This window comes from Homo sapiens, chromosome 8 (assembly GCF_000001405.40).
Source record: "Homo sapiens chromosome 8, GRCh38.p14 Primary Assembly".
Taxonomy (NCBI): domain Eukaryota; kingdom Metazoa; phylum Chordata; class Mammalia; order Primates; family Hominidae; genus Homo; species Homo sapiens.
The window spans coordinates 13,058,948-13,075,369 of record NC_000008.11 but is presented as its reverse complement, the minus strand read 5'-3'; positions in this window follow the sequence as shown (position 1 = coordinate 13,075,369).

The following is a 16,422-nucleotide window of genomic DNA, read 5'->3' as shown; positions in this document are numbered from 1 at the left end:
TTAGGACTCCAGGGCCCTCCCGGGGCCTCAAGTGGTCCCTGCTCGCTGTGTCTTCCCTCCATCCTTTCCTTGTTTTTCTCTCTCTTCATCTTTCACACCTCCATACACCTTCCCTTCCTATCCCATGATCTCTTAAAAAAAAAAAAAAAAGATTTTTAGTTTCAGCAGATTGCAGTGGCTCACACTTGTAGTCCCAGCACTCTGGGATGCTGAGGCCAAGGCTGGCAAATCACCCGAGTTCAGGAGCTCGAGACCAGCCTGGCCAACATGGTGAAACCCCGTCTCTACTAAAGGTACAAAAATTAGTCTGGCGTGGTGGCATGTGCCTGTAATCCCAGCTACTCAGGAGGCCAAGTCACGAAAATCACTTGAACCTGGGCGGCAGAAGTTGCAGTGAGCCAAGATTATGTTTCTTATGTTTCTATTAATTTAAAAATATTCATAATCCCAGCACTGTGGGAGGCCAGTGTGGTTGGATCACTTGAGCTCAAGAGTTCAAGACCAGCCTGGATAAAGATGGTGAAACCCCATCTCTACTAAAAATATAAAAATTAGCCAGACTTGGTGGTTAGCACCTGTAGTCCCAGCTACTCGGGAGGCTGAAGAATGCGAATCGCTTGAACGTGGGAGGCGGAGGTTGCAGTGAGCCGAGATTGCACCACTGCACTCCAGCCTGGGCGACAGAGCAAGACTCGTCTCAAAATAAATGAATATATAAATAAATAAAAGTACTCAGACTATCTCTGCTAGATAGGCTGAGGATTTATTTATCTTTTGTCCCCTTTAAAAAGGGAGAACTGGCAGGGTGCAATGTTTCATATCTGTAATCCTAGTGCTTTTGGAGACTGAGACAGGAGGATTGCTTGAGAAGAGGAGCTGGAGACCACTCTGGGCAACATAGCAAGATCCCTTCTCTACAAAATATTTTTTAGAAGTTAGCCAAGAGTGGTGGCATGCAGCTGTAATCCCAGCTACTCAGGAGGCTGAGGCAGGCGGATCACTTGAGCCCAGGAGTTTGAGGCTGCAGTGAGCTATGATTGCACCCCTGCACTTCAGCCTGGGTGACAGAGCAAGATCCCATCTTTAAAGAAATGAAAATAAAATAAAACAAAAGTATTCAGACTATCTCTGCTAGATAGGCTGAGAAATTCCTTATCCTTTGCCCCCTTTAGGAAGAGAGAGCTATCTAAAGTCATTATAGAGGGAATACGGCAGGAGGCAGTTGGGTGATAGGTAGAGAGCCAATGGGCCTCAATAAATTAGACAGATGAAGACACAGCTATAGGGTGGTGGTTAGAGAAAGTAGATTTGGGCAAAATTTTCTTAAGTTCAGGGGCCTATATGCAGTTTTAAAAACAAAGGACATTTGCCAATGGAGAGAGAAATAGCAAAGACGCCATGAGGAAAGAAATACACAGAGCATCAAAGTCACGAAAGATGCCTTCCTTTGGAACAGTAGAGAAAGACAGGGTAAGAAAGTATCTTCCTATGCAAGAGACTTGGGGGCCACGGAATCAGAGAATGTTGACTTGGATGGCATTTTCAAGATGGCCAAATCTAAGCACCTAATTTTCTAGAAGTGGAAACAGGCTTAGAGAGGCTAAGATTTTCTTTATTTTTGTTGTTTTGTTTTGTTGTTTTCAGAGATGGGATCTGGCTATGCTGGCCAGGCTAGAATGCAGTGGTTGTTCATAGGCACAGTCACAACACACTGCAGCCTAGAGCTCTTAGCCTCAAGCAATCCTCCCACCACAGCCTTCAGAGTAGCTGAGACTACAGACAGGAGCCACCACACTGCTTTGCCCAAAGGATTTTTTTTTTTTTGAGATGAAGTCTCGCTCTCTTGCCCAGGCTGGAGTGCAGTGGCACGATCTCAGCTCACTGCAACCTCCGCCCGCAAGGTTCAAGAGATTCTCCTGCCTCAGCCTCCCGAGTGTCACCTGGGATTACAGGCAGGTGACACCTCGCCTGGCTAATTTTTGTATTTTTAGAAGAGATGGGGTTTTGCCATGATGGCCAGGCTGGTCTTGAACTCCTGACCTCAGGTGATCTGCCTGCTTCAGCCTCCCAAAGTGCTGGGATTACAGGCGTGAACCACCGTGCCCAGAACCCTTGCCCGAAGGTTTTAAATGACAGCAGTAAATGGGCTAGAAGTCAGGTTTGGATGACAACAGTTATTCTGGAGGAACTTTAGGTTGGTTCCCCGCTGCCCAGCAACATAGTAGATGAGTGTTTCAGTTGTAGTCATTTTTCTCAGGGTTTACCTCCACCAAGGTGCCCGGGTCTGACTTTCATTCAAAACTCAGATTCTCCTAGCGCAGGGCCCTACTTCCTACCAGCCAGCGATGTGTCCTCTTTCTCTACTTTTACTCCCCTAAAGCTATGACTATCCATTGGGTTGCATGAATAATGTTCATTTAAGCAGGTAGGTCTGCACAGTTCTAATTTTTCCAGGCATTATCTTATTTAACCCTCACCACAAAAGAAACAATGAGATTGGAGGTCGTATTATTCTATGTTACAAATGGAGAAAGCAAAGTACAGCTAGGCTAAGTTCTCCAGGGTTCCCTGTGAAATTCATCACACAAAGCCTTAGGAACAGCCCCTGGCACATGCTAAGCCCCGGTATCTGTTAGGTATTATCTTTATGGTTGTACTAGAGGCCATGTCATGTAGCAGGTGGGAGCCTGGACTCTGGAGCCAGATTCTCTGGGGTCAAACCACCATTTATACTAGCTATGTGCTCTCGAGGAGACAGAGGTAATAACAATAAAGAAATTAGTACTCAGCCAGGCGCGGCGGCTCACGCCTCTAATCCCAGCACTTTGGGAGGCCAAGGTGCGCAGATCACGAGGTCAAGAGATGAGACTATCTTGGCCAACATGGTGAAACTCTGTCTCTACTTAAAATACAAACAATTAGCTGGGTGTGGTGGCGCGTGCCTGTAGTCCCAGCTACTCGGGAGGCTGAGAATCACTTGAACCCGGGAGGCAGAGATTGCAGTGAGCCAACACTGCACCACTGCACTCCAGCCTGGCGACAGAGTGAGACTCCACCTCAAAAAAAAAAAAAAAGAAAGAAATTAGTACTCATAGTAACTAACACATAAGGATCGCTATGTATTATTACTTCTAAATGTGTTTCTTATTCTTTCTTAGTTTAAGCACATGCCTAAAACAAACTATACACACCCATAAGATTCATATCAATCAAGGTTATTACCATTCAAGCTTGCGTGGCTATCCCTGTGGGTGAGGTGGGAAAGGCCTGACAGCTTCCTCTCCTTATGGAGTCTCTGGAATTTAGCAGCACTGGATTTCTAGATTTTTTACTGAGTTAGGCATTCAACAAACAAGTATCCACTATGACCAACAGAGGAAAGCCACAGAAATGTAAGTCAACCCTCCTGACTTGGAGGTGCTGATAGTCTTTCCAAGGAGACAGAGAAATAATTTCAATACAATGTGTTTTAGTGGAGACTCTACCCAGTGGCCCAGAAAAAGAGAGGACACTTAAACCAGGTGCTGAAGGATGGTGGAGGAAGGGGCAGGAGGCATTCCAAGCAGGGGCAAGCTGGGGACATAGGCAGCCTGAAGAAGTCTAGGCTGGCAACAAAGCAGGGAGGGTCCTGCGTGCCTGGAGGAGGCTGTTCTGGAGGCTCAGCAGGAGAAGCGCCTGCAGAAGGAGGCAGGGGAGATGGGAAGATTGAGAACAGCTTTATATAACATTCTAAGGAATTTGATTGTCACGCACCAGGCAAATGGGAAGCTTTGAGAAGCTTTTAAGGAGGGAAGCATGGAGATAGAGTTAGAGCTGTATTATGAACCCAAGACAATTAAAAATTTTAAAATTAAACTGCAAAGAGGCCGGGTGCAGTGGCTCACTCCTGTAATACCAGCACTTTGGGAGGCTGAGGCGGGAGGATTACCTGAGGTCAGGAGTTCAAGACTAGCCTGGCCAACATAGTGAAACCCCTCTCTACTAAAATACAAAAATTAGCTGGATGTGGTGGTGCACGCCTGTAATCCCAGCTATTGAAGAGGCTGAGGCAGGAAAATTGGTTGAACCTGGAAGGCGGAGGTTGCAGTGAGCCAAGGTGGCACCACTATACTCCAGCCTGGGCAACAGAGCGAGACTCCATCTCAAAATACAAACAGACAGGTCGGGCGCAGTGGCTCACGCCTGTAATCCCAGCACTTTGGGAGGCCGAGGCAGGTAGATCACGAGGTCAGGAGATCGAGACCATCCTGGCTAACATGGTGAAACCCCGTCTCTACTAAAAATACAAAAATTTAGCCGGGCATGGTGGCAGATGCCTGTGGTTCCAGCTACTCGGGAGGCTGAGGCAGGAGAATGGCGTGAACCCAGGAGGCGGAGCTTGCAGTGAGCTGAAATCGCGCCCCTGCACTCAAGGCAGGGCGACAGAGCGAGACTCCATCTCAAACAAACAAACAAACAAACAAATGAACAAACAACAAAAAAAACTGCAATGAAAAAAAGTCAAAAAAAAATTCAAGTTAAAATGAGGTCACACTGGATGGGGTAGGCTCTAAACCCAATCACTGGTCTCCATCTAAGAAGTGACACAGACGCATGGAGTCATAGGCACGTGGGAGAAGTCTATGTGATGAGGAAGCAGAGATTGGAAGGACGCATCTGCAAACCAAGGAGAGCCCGCAATTGCCAGCAACCACCAGAAGCTACAAGAGGCAAGGAAGGGTTCTCCCAGAGCCTTTGGAGGGAGCATGCCCAGGTGACATCTTTTTTTTTGAGACGGGGTCTTGCTCTGGCTCTGTCATCCAGGCTCAGGGCAGTGGCACAATCTTGGCTCGCTGCAGCCTCCTCCTCCCGGGTTCAAGCAATTCTCTTGCATCAGCTTCCCAGATAGCTGGGAATACAGGTGCCCATCACCACGCCTGGCTAATTTTTGTATTTTTAGTAGAGACGGGGTTTTGCCATGTCGGCCAGGTTGGTCTCCAACTCCTCGCCTCAAGTGATCCGCCTGCCTTGGCCTCCCAAAGTGCCGGGATTACAGGTGTGAAACACTGAGGCCGGGTGCAGTGGCTCACTCCTGTAATCCCAGCACTTTTGGAGGCCACAGCCCAGCCCCAGGTGACATCTTAATTTTGGACTGTAGCCTCTAGACTGTGAGAATAAATTTTTATTTTTTTAAGTCCAACCACAAAGAATTGGATCTGATTTTTTAAAAGAAAAGTCTGGCCGAGTCACACTTGTAATCCCAGAGCTTTGGATGGCTGAGGCATGCAGATTCTTTGAGGCCAGGAGTTCAAGATCAGGATGGGCAATACAGTGATACCCTATCTCTACAAAAAAATAAAGAAAATTAGCAAGGAATGATGGCACATGCCTATAAGTCCCAGCTGCTCCAGCCACTTGGGAGGCTGAGGCAGGAAGTAGTTTGATCATGCCACTGAACTCCAACCTGGGCAGCAGAGTACGATCCTGCCTCCAAAAAAATAAAGAAAATAAAAATAAACAAACAAAAGCCTGCAAGGGTTGTGGAGGCTGGATTCACTGGAAAGGATTTAGTCAAGGAGAGCCTTACATAATTCCCACAAAAGATCATAAGTGCCCAAACCGAGAGAGTGCTGTGGGGAAGAAATAGCAGGAGGCGAGGAGGAACAGAGAGAATGAGGAGGGAGAATCCTTGGCACGCAGCGGCAGCCCTTTTAGAATGAGAGATGGGAGATAAGGATTGCACTCTAGATCATAGCTGCACTGCCCATGTGAAGAGAGATGCTGCTGTCTGAGATAAGCAGTGCAGGAGGAGAAACAGGTTTGAGATGAAGGAAAAGGGTGGTGAGTTCAAGTGGGAGTCTACTGAGACTTCTGCAGGAGTTCTAAATGGAGTTCTGGCCCGGCCCATGGAAACAGGGGACAAGAGTTCCTGGGAGCAGATGACTGGCCAAGGCAAGGATTTGGAAGAGTAAAGAGTAGCTGAAGCCCTGGATGATGCAGAGATGTCCTGGTCTAGGCAGAGAACAGAGAGGTGGGTACCAGTCTGCCTGGGATCAGAGTGCTAGCTACCTGCCTGGAAGTCACCTCATGAAAGATTCTAGGGTCACAAGACAGGGACATGAGTTTCTTCGTAATTATCAGGAACCTAAGTTTGCTTGTTTTTTTCTTAGCTTGATGTTTTAGGTTCCTGAATTTCCTAGCATATTGGAGACGATGAATGCCGTTTGGATCTCTTCCACGAAGAAGCTGGAGGTGTCGTGGAGAAGTGGAATGGCTCACGCTTGTAATCCCAGCACTTTGGGAGGCCAAGGCCGGAGGACTGCTTGAGCCCAGGAGTTTATGACAAGCTGGGGCAACAGAGCAAGACCTTATCTCTACAGAAAATTTAAAAATTAACAGGGTGTGGTGGTACATGCCTGTAGCCCTAGCTACTTGGAAGGCTGAGGTGGGAGGGTCACTTCAGTCCAGGAGTTTGAGCCTGCGGTGAGCTGTGATCATGCCATTGAACTCCAGCCTAGACAACAAAGGGAACCCCTGTCTTCAAAAAGGAGAAGAAAAAGAAAAACAAGAGAAAAGAGAATGGCTGGTGTCAACCAAATAATTAAATGGAGTAAGTGTGCTCGCTCATGAATAAAAAGTCACAAATTATCCTAGGCTATCTAATATTCAGGCACAGTCCCTAATAAGTGAAGTTAGAGTTGACCAGCATAAAAGAGCTGGTTGCTTTCTTCAGTATCTTTAAAATACAAACAACAAAAACAAGAAAGACAAGCGCAGGCTCGTGCAAATCTTGTCCCAGCACAAAAGGGCTGCATGCAGGAATCAGAACATTTTGTTGATTTCATAAGGCATCACATTCTCCCTTGGGTATCCTGTAATAATCAAAAGCTTTGGCAGTTGTATGTGTTTTTTATAAACTCTGAGAAAGCAAATTAGGTTGGTTTAGTCAATGCACTTTAATTGCCAGACATCAAATTTTGAAAACCTGAAGTTTCTAGAGATTAAAAAATAAAATAAAATTAAATGTTATCCAGAGAGGGCCGGGCGCAGTGGCTCATGCCTGTAATCCCAGCACTTTGGGAGGCTGAGGCAGGCAGATCACGAGGTCAGGAGATCAAGACCATACTGGCTAACATGGTGAAACCCCGTCTTTACTAAAAATACAAAAAATTAGCCGGGCGTGGTGGCGGGCGCCTGTAGTCCCGGCTACTCGGGAGGCTGAGGCAGGAGAATGGTGTGAACCCGGCAGGCAGAGCTTGCAGTGAGCCGATATCGCGCCACTGCACTCCAGCCTGGGCGATACAGCGAGACTCATCTCAAAAAAAAAAAAATGTTATCCAGAGAGGTGACAAGTTTGGGACCTTACGGCAAGTGCTCAGCCCTTACTCACTGTCCTTGTTAGTGAGTTGGCATCCCCAGCAGCGCCACCAGCATCCTCTGTGGTGAGCCAGAGCCCTGTCAGCTGAAACTTCCAAACACTTCTGTCAAAGAGGTGAGTGGAAAATTGTAAACCTCCCTAGCTAATTCCAAGGGACTCTTCAAGTGATGGTTCCTCTAAGATATCCCCCAGGGTAGGGACTAAGTGTCCTTCCCCTGGGCTCGCTCTGTTTGGCCACATTATTTTGTATTGTCTGAGTCTGCCTTTTGTTTTGTGTTACTTTGTTTTGGTTTGGGTCTAGGTCTGCTCCTAGACAATAGCGTCTTTGAAGGCAAACATCGCCTTCTTCCCTTCTCTGTCCCGAACACTAACATAGTACCTGGCATATTTCCAGGGCTCCAAAATCATATGGACCAGAAGACAATCTGCTTTACAATCAGACGTGCTTCTGAAGACAAGAGGATGAAGAGAAAGCAGTGGGGAAGGAGGGCCACCCCATGATCTGGGGCAGCTGAATAAAGAAACCTCTGGGCCGGGCGCAGTGGCTCATGCCTGTAATCCCAGCACTTTGGGAGGCTGAGGCGGGTGGATCACCTGAGGTCAGGAGTTCAAGACCAGCCTGGCCAACATTGGGAAACCCCGTCTCTACTAAAAATACAAAAGATTAGCTGGGCATGGCGGCGGGCGCCTGTAATCCCAGCTACTTGGGAGGCTGAGGCAGGAGAATTGCTTGAACTCGGGAGGCGGAGGTTGCAGTGAGCCAAGATCGCGCCATTGTATTCCAGCCTGGGCAACAAGAGCGAAACTCTGTCTCAAGGAAAATAAATAAATAAATAAATAAAAATTAAAAACCTCTTTCCTACCTTGAAGGACCATCCCTGCAGCACCCAGCAAACACAGACACATACTACCTTCAGGGCTCTAGGGTGACATGTGGCCTTTGGTGACTTGAAACCTCCATCTAGTTAGAAAACAAAATCCAGCAACCCATAGAGTAAATTTTTTTTTTATTTCAGTAGGTTTTGAGGGAACAGGTGGTGTCGTGGTGATTTCTGAGATTCTGATGCACCCATCACCCAAGCAGTGTACAGTGTGCCCAATCTGTAGTCTTTTATTCCTCACCCCCTTCCCACCCTTTCCCCTGACTCCCAAAGTACATTATATTATTCTTATGACTGCATCCTCATAGCTTAGCTCCCACTTATGAGTGGGAACATATAATGTTTGGTTTTCCATTCCCGAGTTACTTCACTCAGAATAATAGTCTCCAATTCTATCCAGGTTGCTGCGAATGCTATTATTTCGTGTTTTTATTTTTTTATTTTTTTGGCAGAGTAGTATTCCATGATACATATACAGCACATTTTCTTTATCCACTCATTGCCTGATGGCCATTTGGGTTGGTTCCATCATTTTTGCAATTGCAAATTGTGCTACTATAAACATGCGTATGCCACTATCTTTTTCGTATCATGATTTCTTTTCCTCTGAGTAGATACCAGTAGTGGGATTGCTGGATCAAATGGTAGTTCTACTTTTAGTTCTTTAAGGAACCGCCACACTGTTTTCCATAGCGGTTGTACAAGTTTACATTCCCACCAGCAGTGTAAAAGTGTTCCCCTTTCACCACATCCATGTCAACATCTATTATTTTTTGATTTTTTGATTATGGCCATACCATGAGCGTGAATCTTGAGAGCCCAACAAGTTCTTCCTTTATGAGAGATGCAGGAAGTGGAGAAGGAGCTGAACTCTGAGTATCTTTCTTCTCCTTATCTACTTAGACCCTCTTAGACAATTGAACTAAATACCCATTTGTCTCAGAGCTAAGTCTAGTGAGCCCTGGAGGAAATTTAAATCAGGTCAGGTGTGGACAGAAGTATTTGCTGTCTCTTCTCCTTTCTTTTACTTTTTTTATTCTTCCTATTGGCAAAGGGCAAGAGGAAGATTCAACTCCAAATGCTCACAAAGTATGTTTCTCCTTCATTGTAATTAAGGTTTCAGTCACCCATGGCTTTACTAGAACTGTATGTAATTGCATTCCAGGTCTCTTCTTCAAATGACTCTGGCAATCTTCCCGGGGGACTCCGCTGTAGGTATGTCTTGGTAGGTGCAAGAACTGACTTCTCAAACCATTTGCAAGAACTGACTTCTCAAACCATTTATCTACTTACTTACCCAAGCTCTCCTCCTTTAAAAAATAACAAGTAACAGAGTCTTAAGATATTTATTTCACCTAGCGCTAATGGCTGACAAATAGAAATCCAGACTTTGAGGGGGTGATTTCAAAAGGCAACCTTTGATCTCTTTAAACTGTCAGCCTTCAGTCTGTAAGAACAGGAAATGTGCTGTATGTAATTGAATCACCACCCTGTTTTCCATCCTCCATTTCTCTTCCCCGATAAAGGGTCTCTCCTCACATTCCTTTATCTTCACCTAATGCCTCACCTCTGAGAGAAGGAGCTAGGAGCAGTGAAGAGAATTAATTTGGTTGCAACAATCTGGGGGAAAAAAGCATGCAAATGAGGTTCAAAGCAGGAGGTTTTACTTTCAGAATCCAGTTGCTATTCACACTTCCTTGTGCTTTGTAAGTGCTTCTAAATGTCAACCTTCAGGGTGAAGGGAGGCAGCTGCATCTGGATTCAAAAATGTGGTTTCACACTTGGATTCTCCAGTCTGCTCCACAGGGGAATCTGGGATTCCACCAAGCCAGGATGAGACCTCCAGACTTGACAAACCCCTTCAAATGAATCCTGGGCGTGGACGTGCTCACAGTCTACTGTCTGGTCATTTTCAGCATTATCTTTTAGCACGTGGTTGATCGCAGGCATAACACGCTGCTTAGAAATCAGCAGAGGCTCTCTGCCGAGTGTAAGGATGGGAGGGAGATAGGGGAGGACTGCATTTCTTGGTAGAGATACCCAATTCAGTGATTTGTTTTATGACACTCCTCAGATGAAATCCACATCGTGAGAGTAAAGGCTAAGAAGGAACCTTAGCTCTTTGGGGTCACCCCAAGCTCTGACCCCCTACACGGATTGTCATGGCCACACGGCAGCGCTTGAGAGTTTCCATTTCTGTGGAGGCCGAGCTCACAGTTCTGCAGATTGTGCTTTTTGTAAGGTGGAGGGGGAACAGCGTGATACTGCTGTTACCCAGTTAATATTCCACATATGGCTGCACTTTTGATATCTCTAAGCATGGGGAGTTGGGAGTAGCAGGACATGATTAATAGAAAAAATGAAGTGGAATCAGAATTCTTGGATTCTAGTGCTTTTAGGTATTTGAAACTCGGTCTCCATGTCAGGAAATATGAAGGAGAAATGTCACCTAGACTAGACTAAGAGTCAAGTGAGCATAAAAGGGCTTCAGGTCCATCAGTCTCCACAAGGGGCTTAGGAGACACATGACTTTTTGTCCATAAAAATGTGGGCATTGATGGATTTTTTCGTGGGGTGGTGGACGCGAGCTTTGAAAATCTTCCAGGATGAAATCACCTCTAGCCCTCTCTGGATAATAAAGCTCTGACTTGTTCATGGGATAGGGTGGACCCCGAACTGTTTCCTGAGAAATTCCTGGCTTTGACTTCAGGTCCTCCCTGCCTTCCATCACAACATAATAAGGTTTCAAGTCTACAGATCATTCTTCAAATAAGGACACAAAATAACGTCTCTCTAAGCCCTTGAACTGATGCCTTCCAACTCTTACCCAAAAGCTGCGTGAGAGAAAGTTCCCTAGGAAGGACTATTTAAAAATTATTTAGTTCATTCACTTTTCTTAGTACTTTAGGATTTTTCTTTGGATACAGCTGGACATCAGTAAAGTAAACTCCTAGGTACTTAATACTTGGGTTCCAAACAAAACTACAGACTTATATTTTCACCAGGGAAGCTCCAAAAAACAGGGCAGAAAGCATGAAGCATTTGATTTGGACCTGCTTACGTTGTGGAGCTGGGGCCCCTGTACCTCCTACGTCTATTCTAAGAAACCTCACATCCAAGGTCATATGCAGTGGCTCATGCCTCGGCCTTTGGGAGGTCAAAGTGGGTGGATCGCTGGAGCCCAGGAATTTGAGACCAAGCTAGGCAACATAGTGAGACCATGTCTCTAAATAAAATACAAAAAAAAATTAGCCAGGCTTGGTGGTGCACACCTGTGGTCCCAGATACTTGGGAGGTTGAGGTGGCAGAATGGCTTGACCCCGGGAGGTGGAGGTTGCAGTGAGCCAAGATCACACCACTGCTCTCCAACCTGGGTGACAGAGTGAGACCCTGTCTCAAAAAAGAAAAAAAAAAAAAAAAACTTCTCTTCCAAAAAGCCTTTTATTTGTAACGACTTCAGAAAACTTTCTCTCCCCTGAGTTTACTCTCATTACTGATTTTATCTTCCCTACCCTACCACCCTCCCCTCTACCCTGGGATTTTTTTGAGATGGGAGTCTCAGAATCCAAATGGAAATGCAATATAATTCCGTGGCCCCTTGTGTGTCCTGCCTGCTTCTGCCACATTACTTTTCAGACCTTGCTGTCTATCCTGCTTGCCTCCCTCCTGAGTTTTGCATGTGCTTTGGTTTAAATTGTCTCAAGTCCTTTTTGAAAATTAAGTCATCATGCCGGGCGCAGTGGCTCATGCCTGTAATCTCAACACTTTGGCAGGCCGAGGCGGGCGGATCACAAAGTGAGGAGATCGAGACCATCCTGGCTAACATGGTGAAACCCCGTCTCTACTAAAAATAGAAAAATTAGCTGGTCGTGGTGGCGGGCACCTGTGGTCCCAGCTACTCGGGAGGCTGAGGCAGGAGAATGGAATGAACCCAGGATGTGGAGCTTGCAGTGAGCCAAGATCGCACCACTGCACTCCAGCCTGGGCGACAGAGCAAGACTCCGTCTCAAAAAAAAAAAAAAAAGAAAGAAAGAAAATTAAGTCATCACAAGCAAACGTGTTTGTAATGGTCTGTTCTCATGCTGCTAATAAAGACATACCCAAGATTGGGTGATTTATAAAGGAAAGAGGTTTAATTGACTCACAGTTCAGCATAGCTGGGGAGGCCTCAGGAAACTTAACAATCATGGTAGATGGGGAAGCAAACACGTCCTTCTTCACATGACAGCAGCAAGGAGAAATGCAGAGTGAAAGGGGGCCCGGGGGAAGCCCCTTATAAACCATCAGATCTCCTGAGAACTTACTCACTACTAGAAGAACAGCATGGAGGTCCCTCCCATGACACATGGGGATTATGGAAACTGTAACACAATTCAAGAAGATATTTGGGTGGGGACACAGCCAAATCATCTCATTGTTTAAAATATGTTTAACAAAACACCTGTTTAAAATAATAAATTTCACATTATATACATGTTACAAAATCTCTCATGTACTCCATAAATTTGCACAAATAATAACTTTTTTTAATTAAAATAATCAGTTTGAGAGACTGATGATCCAAGTCATAAATTGGCCAATCCATTTTTGTCTTCTTTCCTTCCAACTATCCTTCCTCTAAACAACTTCAGTTCTCAATAACACTGATCAAGTAACAATGTTACAGTTTAAAATAGTAACTCTAAATGACTTACAACTCTCAGCACAGAGTCATGCCAGTTAGAGGGTATTGGATACATGTTTGTGAATGAACAACAGAAAATCTGCAAAGATCAGACACTCGGTTTTGCTCTAGAGCTTGAAAATTCTTTCCACATTAATTACTTGAGTTTCTACCCCATAATTGAAGTTGTTTTGCTTTTCCTTATGAGCTCCCTCTGGTTCGTACATTGTTCATGACTTCCAGTGCCTGTTTCATTCTCCTTGGAGGAAAGGTTGAACAAACTGGAGAGCAAGGGCTGGCAAACATTTTTTTTTTTAAGGGGCACAACGCATATACTTTAGACTTTGTGATCTGTATAGACTCTGCTGCAACTACAGCCGATCCTCATTATTTGTGGATTCTGTATTTCCAAATTCACCTACTCACTAAAATTTATTTGTAGCCTCAACATGAATACTCATGGTGCCTTTGCACTTATTCCTGGAAAAACATATGTCACCTGACACCCACGTTTCCAGCCAATGCTGAACAGAGCAATGTTCTATCTTTTTGTTTCAACTCTCACACTGTAAATAAGTTGCCTGTTCAGGATCTACTTAGTCCCATGTGTTTTGCACTTTTGTGCTTTTGGTTAGTGATTTTGCATTTCAGTGACTCGCAAGTATAGTGCTGAGGTGCTGCCTAAAGTTCCTAAGCACAAGAAGCTGTGAGGTGCGTCAAGGAGAAAACCCATGTGTTGGATGAGCTTCGTTCAGGCCTGAGTTCTAGTGCTGTTTCCGTGAGTTCCATGTTCACAAGCCAGCATTATATATTAAACAGAGTCCCTTTAAACAGAAGCACATATAAAATATAATTACTTATTGATCAGTAGACAAAAATGTGACCGGAGGCCTACAGCAAACTAACCCTATATTTCCCCTAGGAGCAATGGTTCAGTATTCACTAATTCAGTATTAATGGTAACTTTATGTAACATAAATGTTGCCAATAACAAGAATAGATTGTACTCAGTTCCCCAGATGCCGTGCCAAAGCAGCCACAGACAATATGCAAACAATGAGCCTATGTTCCAATAAAATGTTATTTATGGACTCTCAAACTTGAAATTCATATAATTTGTATAAGTAACAAAAGACTGTGCTTCTTTTGAGCTTTCCCCCAACCATTTAAAAATATAAAACTAGTTTAAACCCACTGGCCATACACGAACTTGTGATGGGCTGGATTTGACCCATGGGCTTCTGTTTGTCTGCTCCTGCTGTAAAACCTTGTTTTCAATGAATCTCACTGCTTTGGAGCCAGATCATGGTCAATTTGGGAGGCCCATAATCTTATTCCCCTCTGATATGGTTTGGCTCTGCCTCCCCACCTAAATCTCATCACAAAGTGTAATCCCCATGTGTTGAGTGAGGTGATTGGATCATGAGTGCGGTTTTCCCCATGCTGTTCTCATGACAGTGAGTGAATTCTCATGAGATCTGATGGTTTTATTTTATTTTATTTTATTTTATTTTTTGAGATGGAGTCTTGCTCTGCTGCCCAGGCTGGAGTGCAGTGGTGCAATCTCAGCTCACTGCAACCTCCACCTCCCAGGTTCACGCCACTCTCCTGCCCCAGCCTCCCGAGTAGCTGGGACTACAGGCACCCACCATCACGCCTGGCTAATTTCTTATATCTTTAGTAGAGATGGGGTTTCACCGTGTTAGCCGGGATGGTCTCGATCTGCTGACCTTGTGATCCACTCGCCTCGGCCTCCCAAAGTGCTGGGATTACAGGCGTGAGCCACCGCACCCAGTGATCTGATGGTTTTATAAGGGGCTCTTCCCTTTCTCTCACCTGCCACCATGTGAGATGTGACTGCTTCGCCTTCTGCCATGATTGTAAGTTTCCTGAGGCCTATCTAGTAGTGCGGAACTGTTAGTTAATTAAACCTCTTTCTCTTATAAATTACCCAGTCTTGAGTATTTCTTCATAGCAGTGTGAAAACAGATTAATACACCCTGGAAGTCTCTGCCACCTCAGTGTCATCACTCTGATGGGGCCTAAGAACATTCATGATGTTTGGGTCTGTTTAACAGAAGGAAAGACTACTGAAGTTGGACTCCAGATCGCTGGTTTTGAAAGCCAGGGATCTCATTCTGTCACCCAGGCTGGAGTGCAGTGACACGATCATAGCTCACTACAGCCTCAAACTCCTGGGCTCAAGGGATCAATCCTCCCACCTCAGCTTTCTGAGTAGCTGCGACTACATGCGCACCTAATTTTTTTAAGTTTAAACAAACTGATCACACCTGGCTAATCTGTGTAAACTTTTTTTTTTTTTTTTTTTTTTGGTAGAGACAGGCTCTCCCTATGTTGCCTAGGCTGGTCTTGAATCGGCCACAAGTGATCCTCCCACCTCAGCGTTCCAAAGTGCTGGGATTACAGGTGTGAGGCACCTTGCAGGGCCAGGTATCACTTCTTAAATGTTTGACTTGAGGCAACTTTACTGAGCCTCCTACAGAAGGCAGAGAAAGACACCTGTGAATCTCCCAGGGCCATAATGCAGGTTAAACCACACAGCAAGAGTAGGCTTTGCAGATGGGACTGCTGATTGCGCCTTCGCCAGTCCCACCCCTTTGCAGTTAAGAAATTTGACCCCTGAGGTTCCTTGGAAATCATCCAAGTCATGCGGAAAGCAAGCGGATACCGACAAATCTCATCCTTTTCTACTCTTCTCAACATTTTCAGGGGTCAGGGATACGATGCAATGTCATCAAAAAATGAGCAGGAAGATTTTTCCCTAAAAACTGTAGCCTTCATTTCCATCCGCTCACAACATGCTGTTTAGAGCACCAGGGAGGCGTCCTCAGATTGTCCCCACTCTTGTTTAGGCTCATGTCAGTCAGATAATTCTCAGGCTTGGGCAGAAACCTGCTGGTGAGAAACTTCTCAAGTGTCACTGCTTACAAAAGAGGGAAGAAAACAGAAAAGTCTGTTTATTTTTCTGACCTAAAAGATAACATTGGTTTGCCCTTTCCTTTTGTTTAAGGTTAGATCGGGAGCATTCCTTGAAAGTTGCCCAAGAAGAGATTGTCTCAGCCATTTTTTCCTGGCAATTTGTGTTTTCATTCAAAATGGATTACTTGCGGTAATAACGAGGATTCATATTATAAGAAACAACGCTAATTTCCTCATCTGTAAAATTGAAACAGTGGCTCAGATCCCTGCCTATCCGATCACTTAAAGTGATCTGTAAACTATGTAGGAATTTTTTTTTTTTTTTTTTTTTTTTTTTTTTGAGACGGAGTCTCGCTCTGTCGCCCAGGCTGGAGTGCAGTGGCGTGATCTCGGCTCACTGCAAGCTCCGCCTCCTAGGTTCATGCCATTCTCCTGCCTCAGCCTCCCGAGTAGCTGGGAGTACAGGCGCCTGCCACCATGCCTGGCTAATTTTTTGTGTTTTTTAGTAGAGACGGGGTTTCACCATGTTAGCCAGGATGGTCTCGATCTCCTGACCCAGTGATCCACCTGCCTCAACCTCC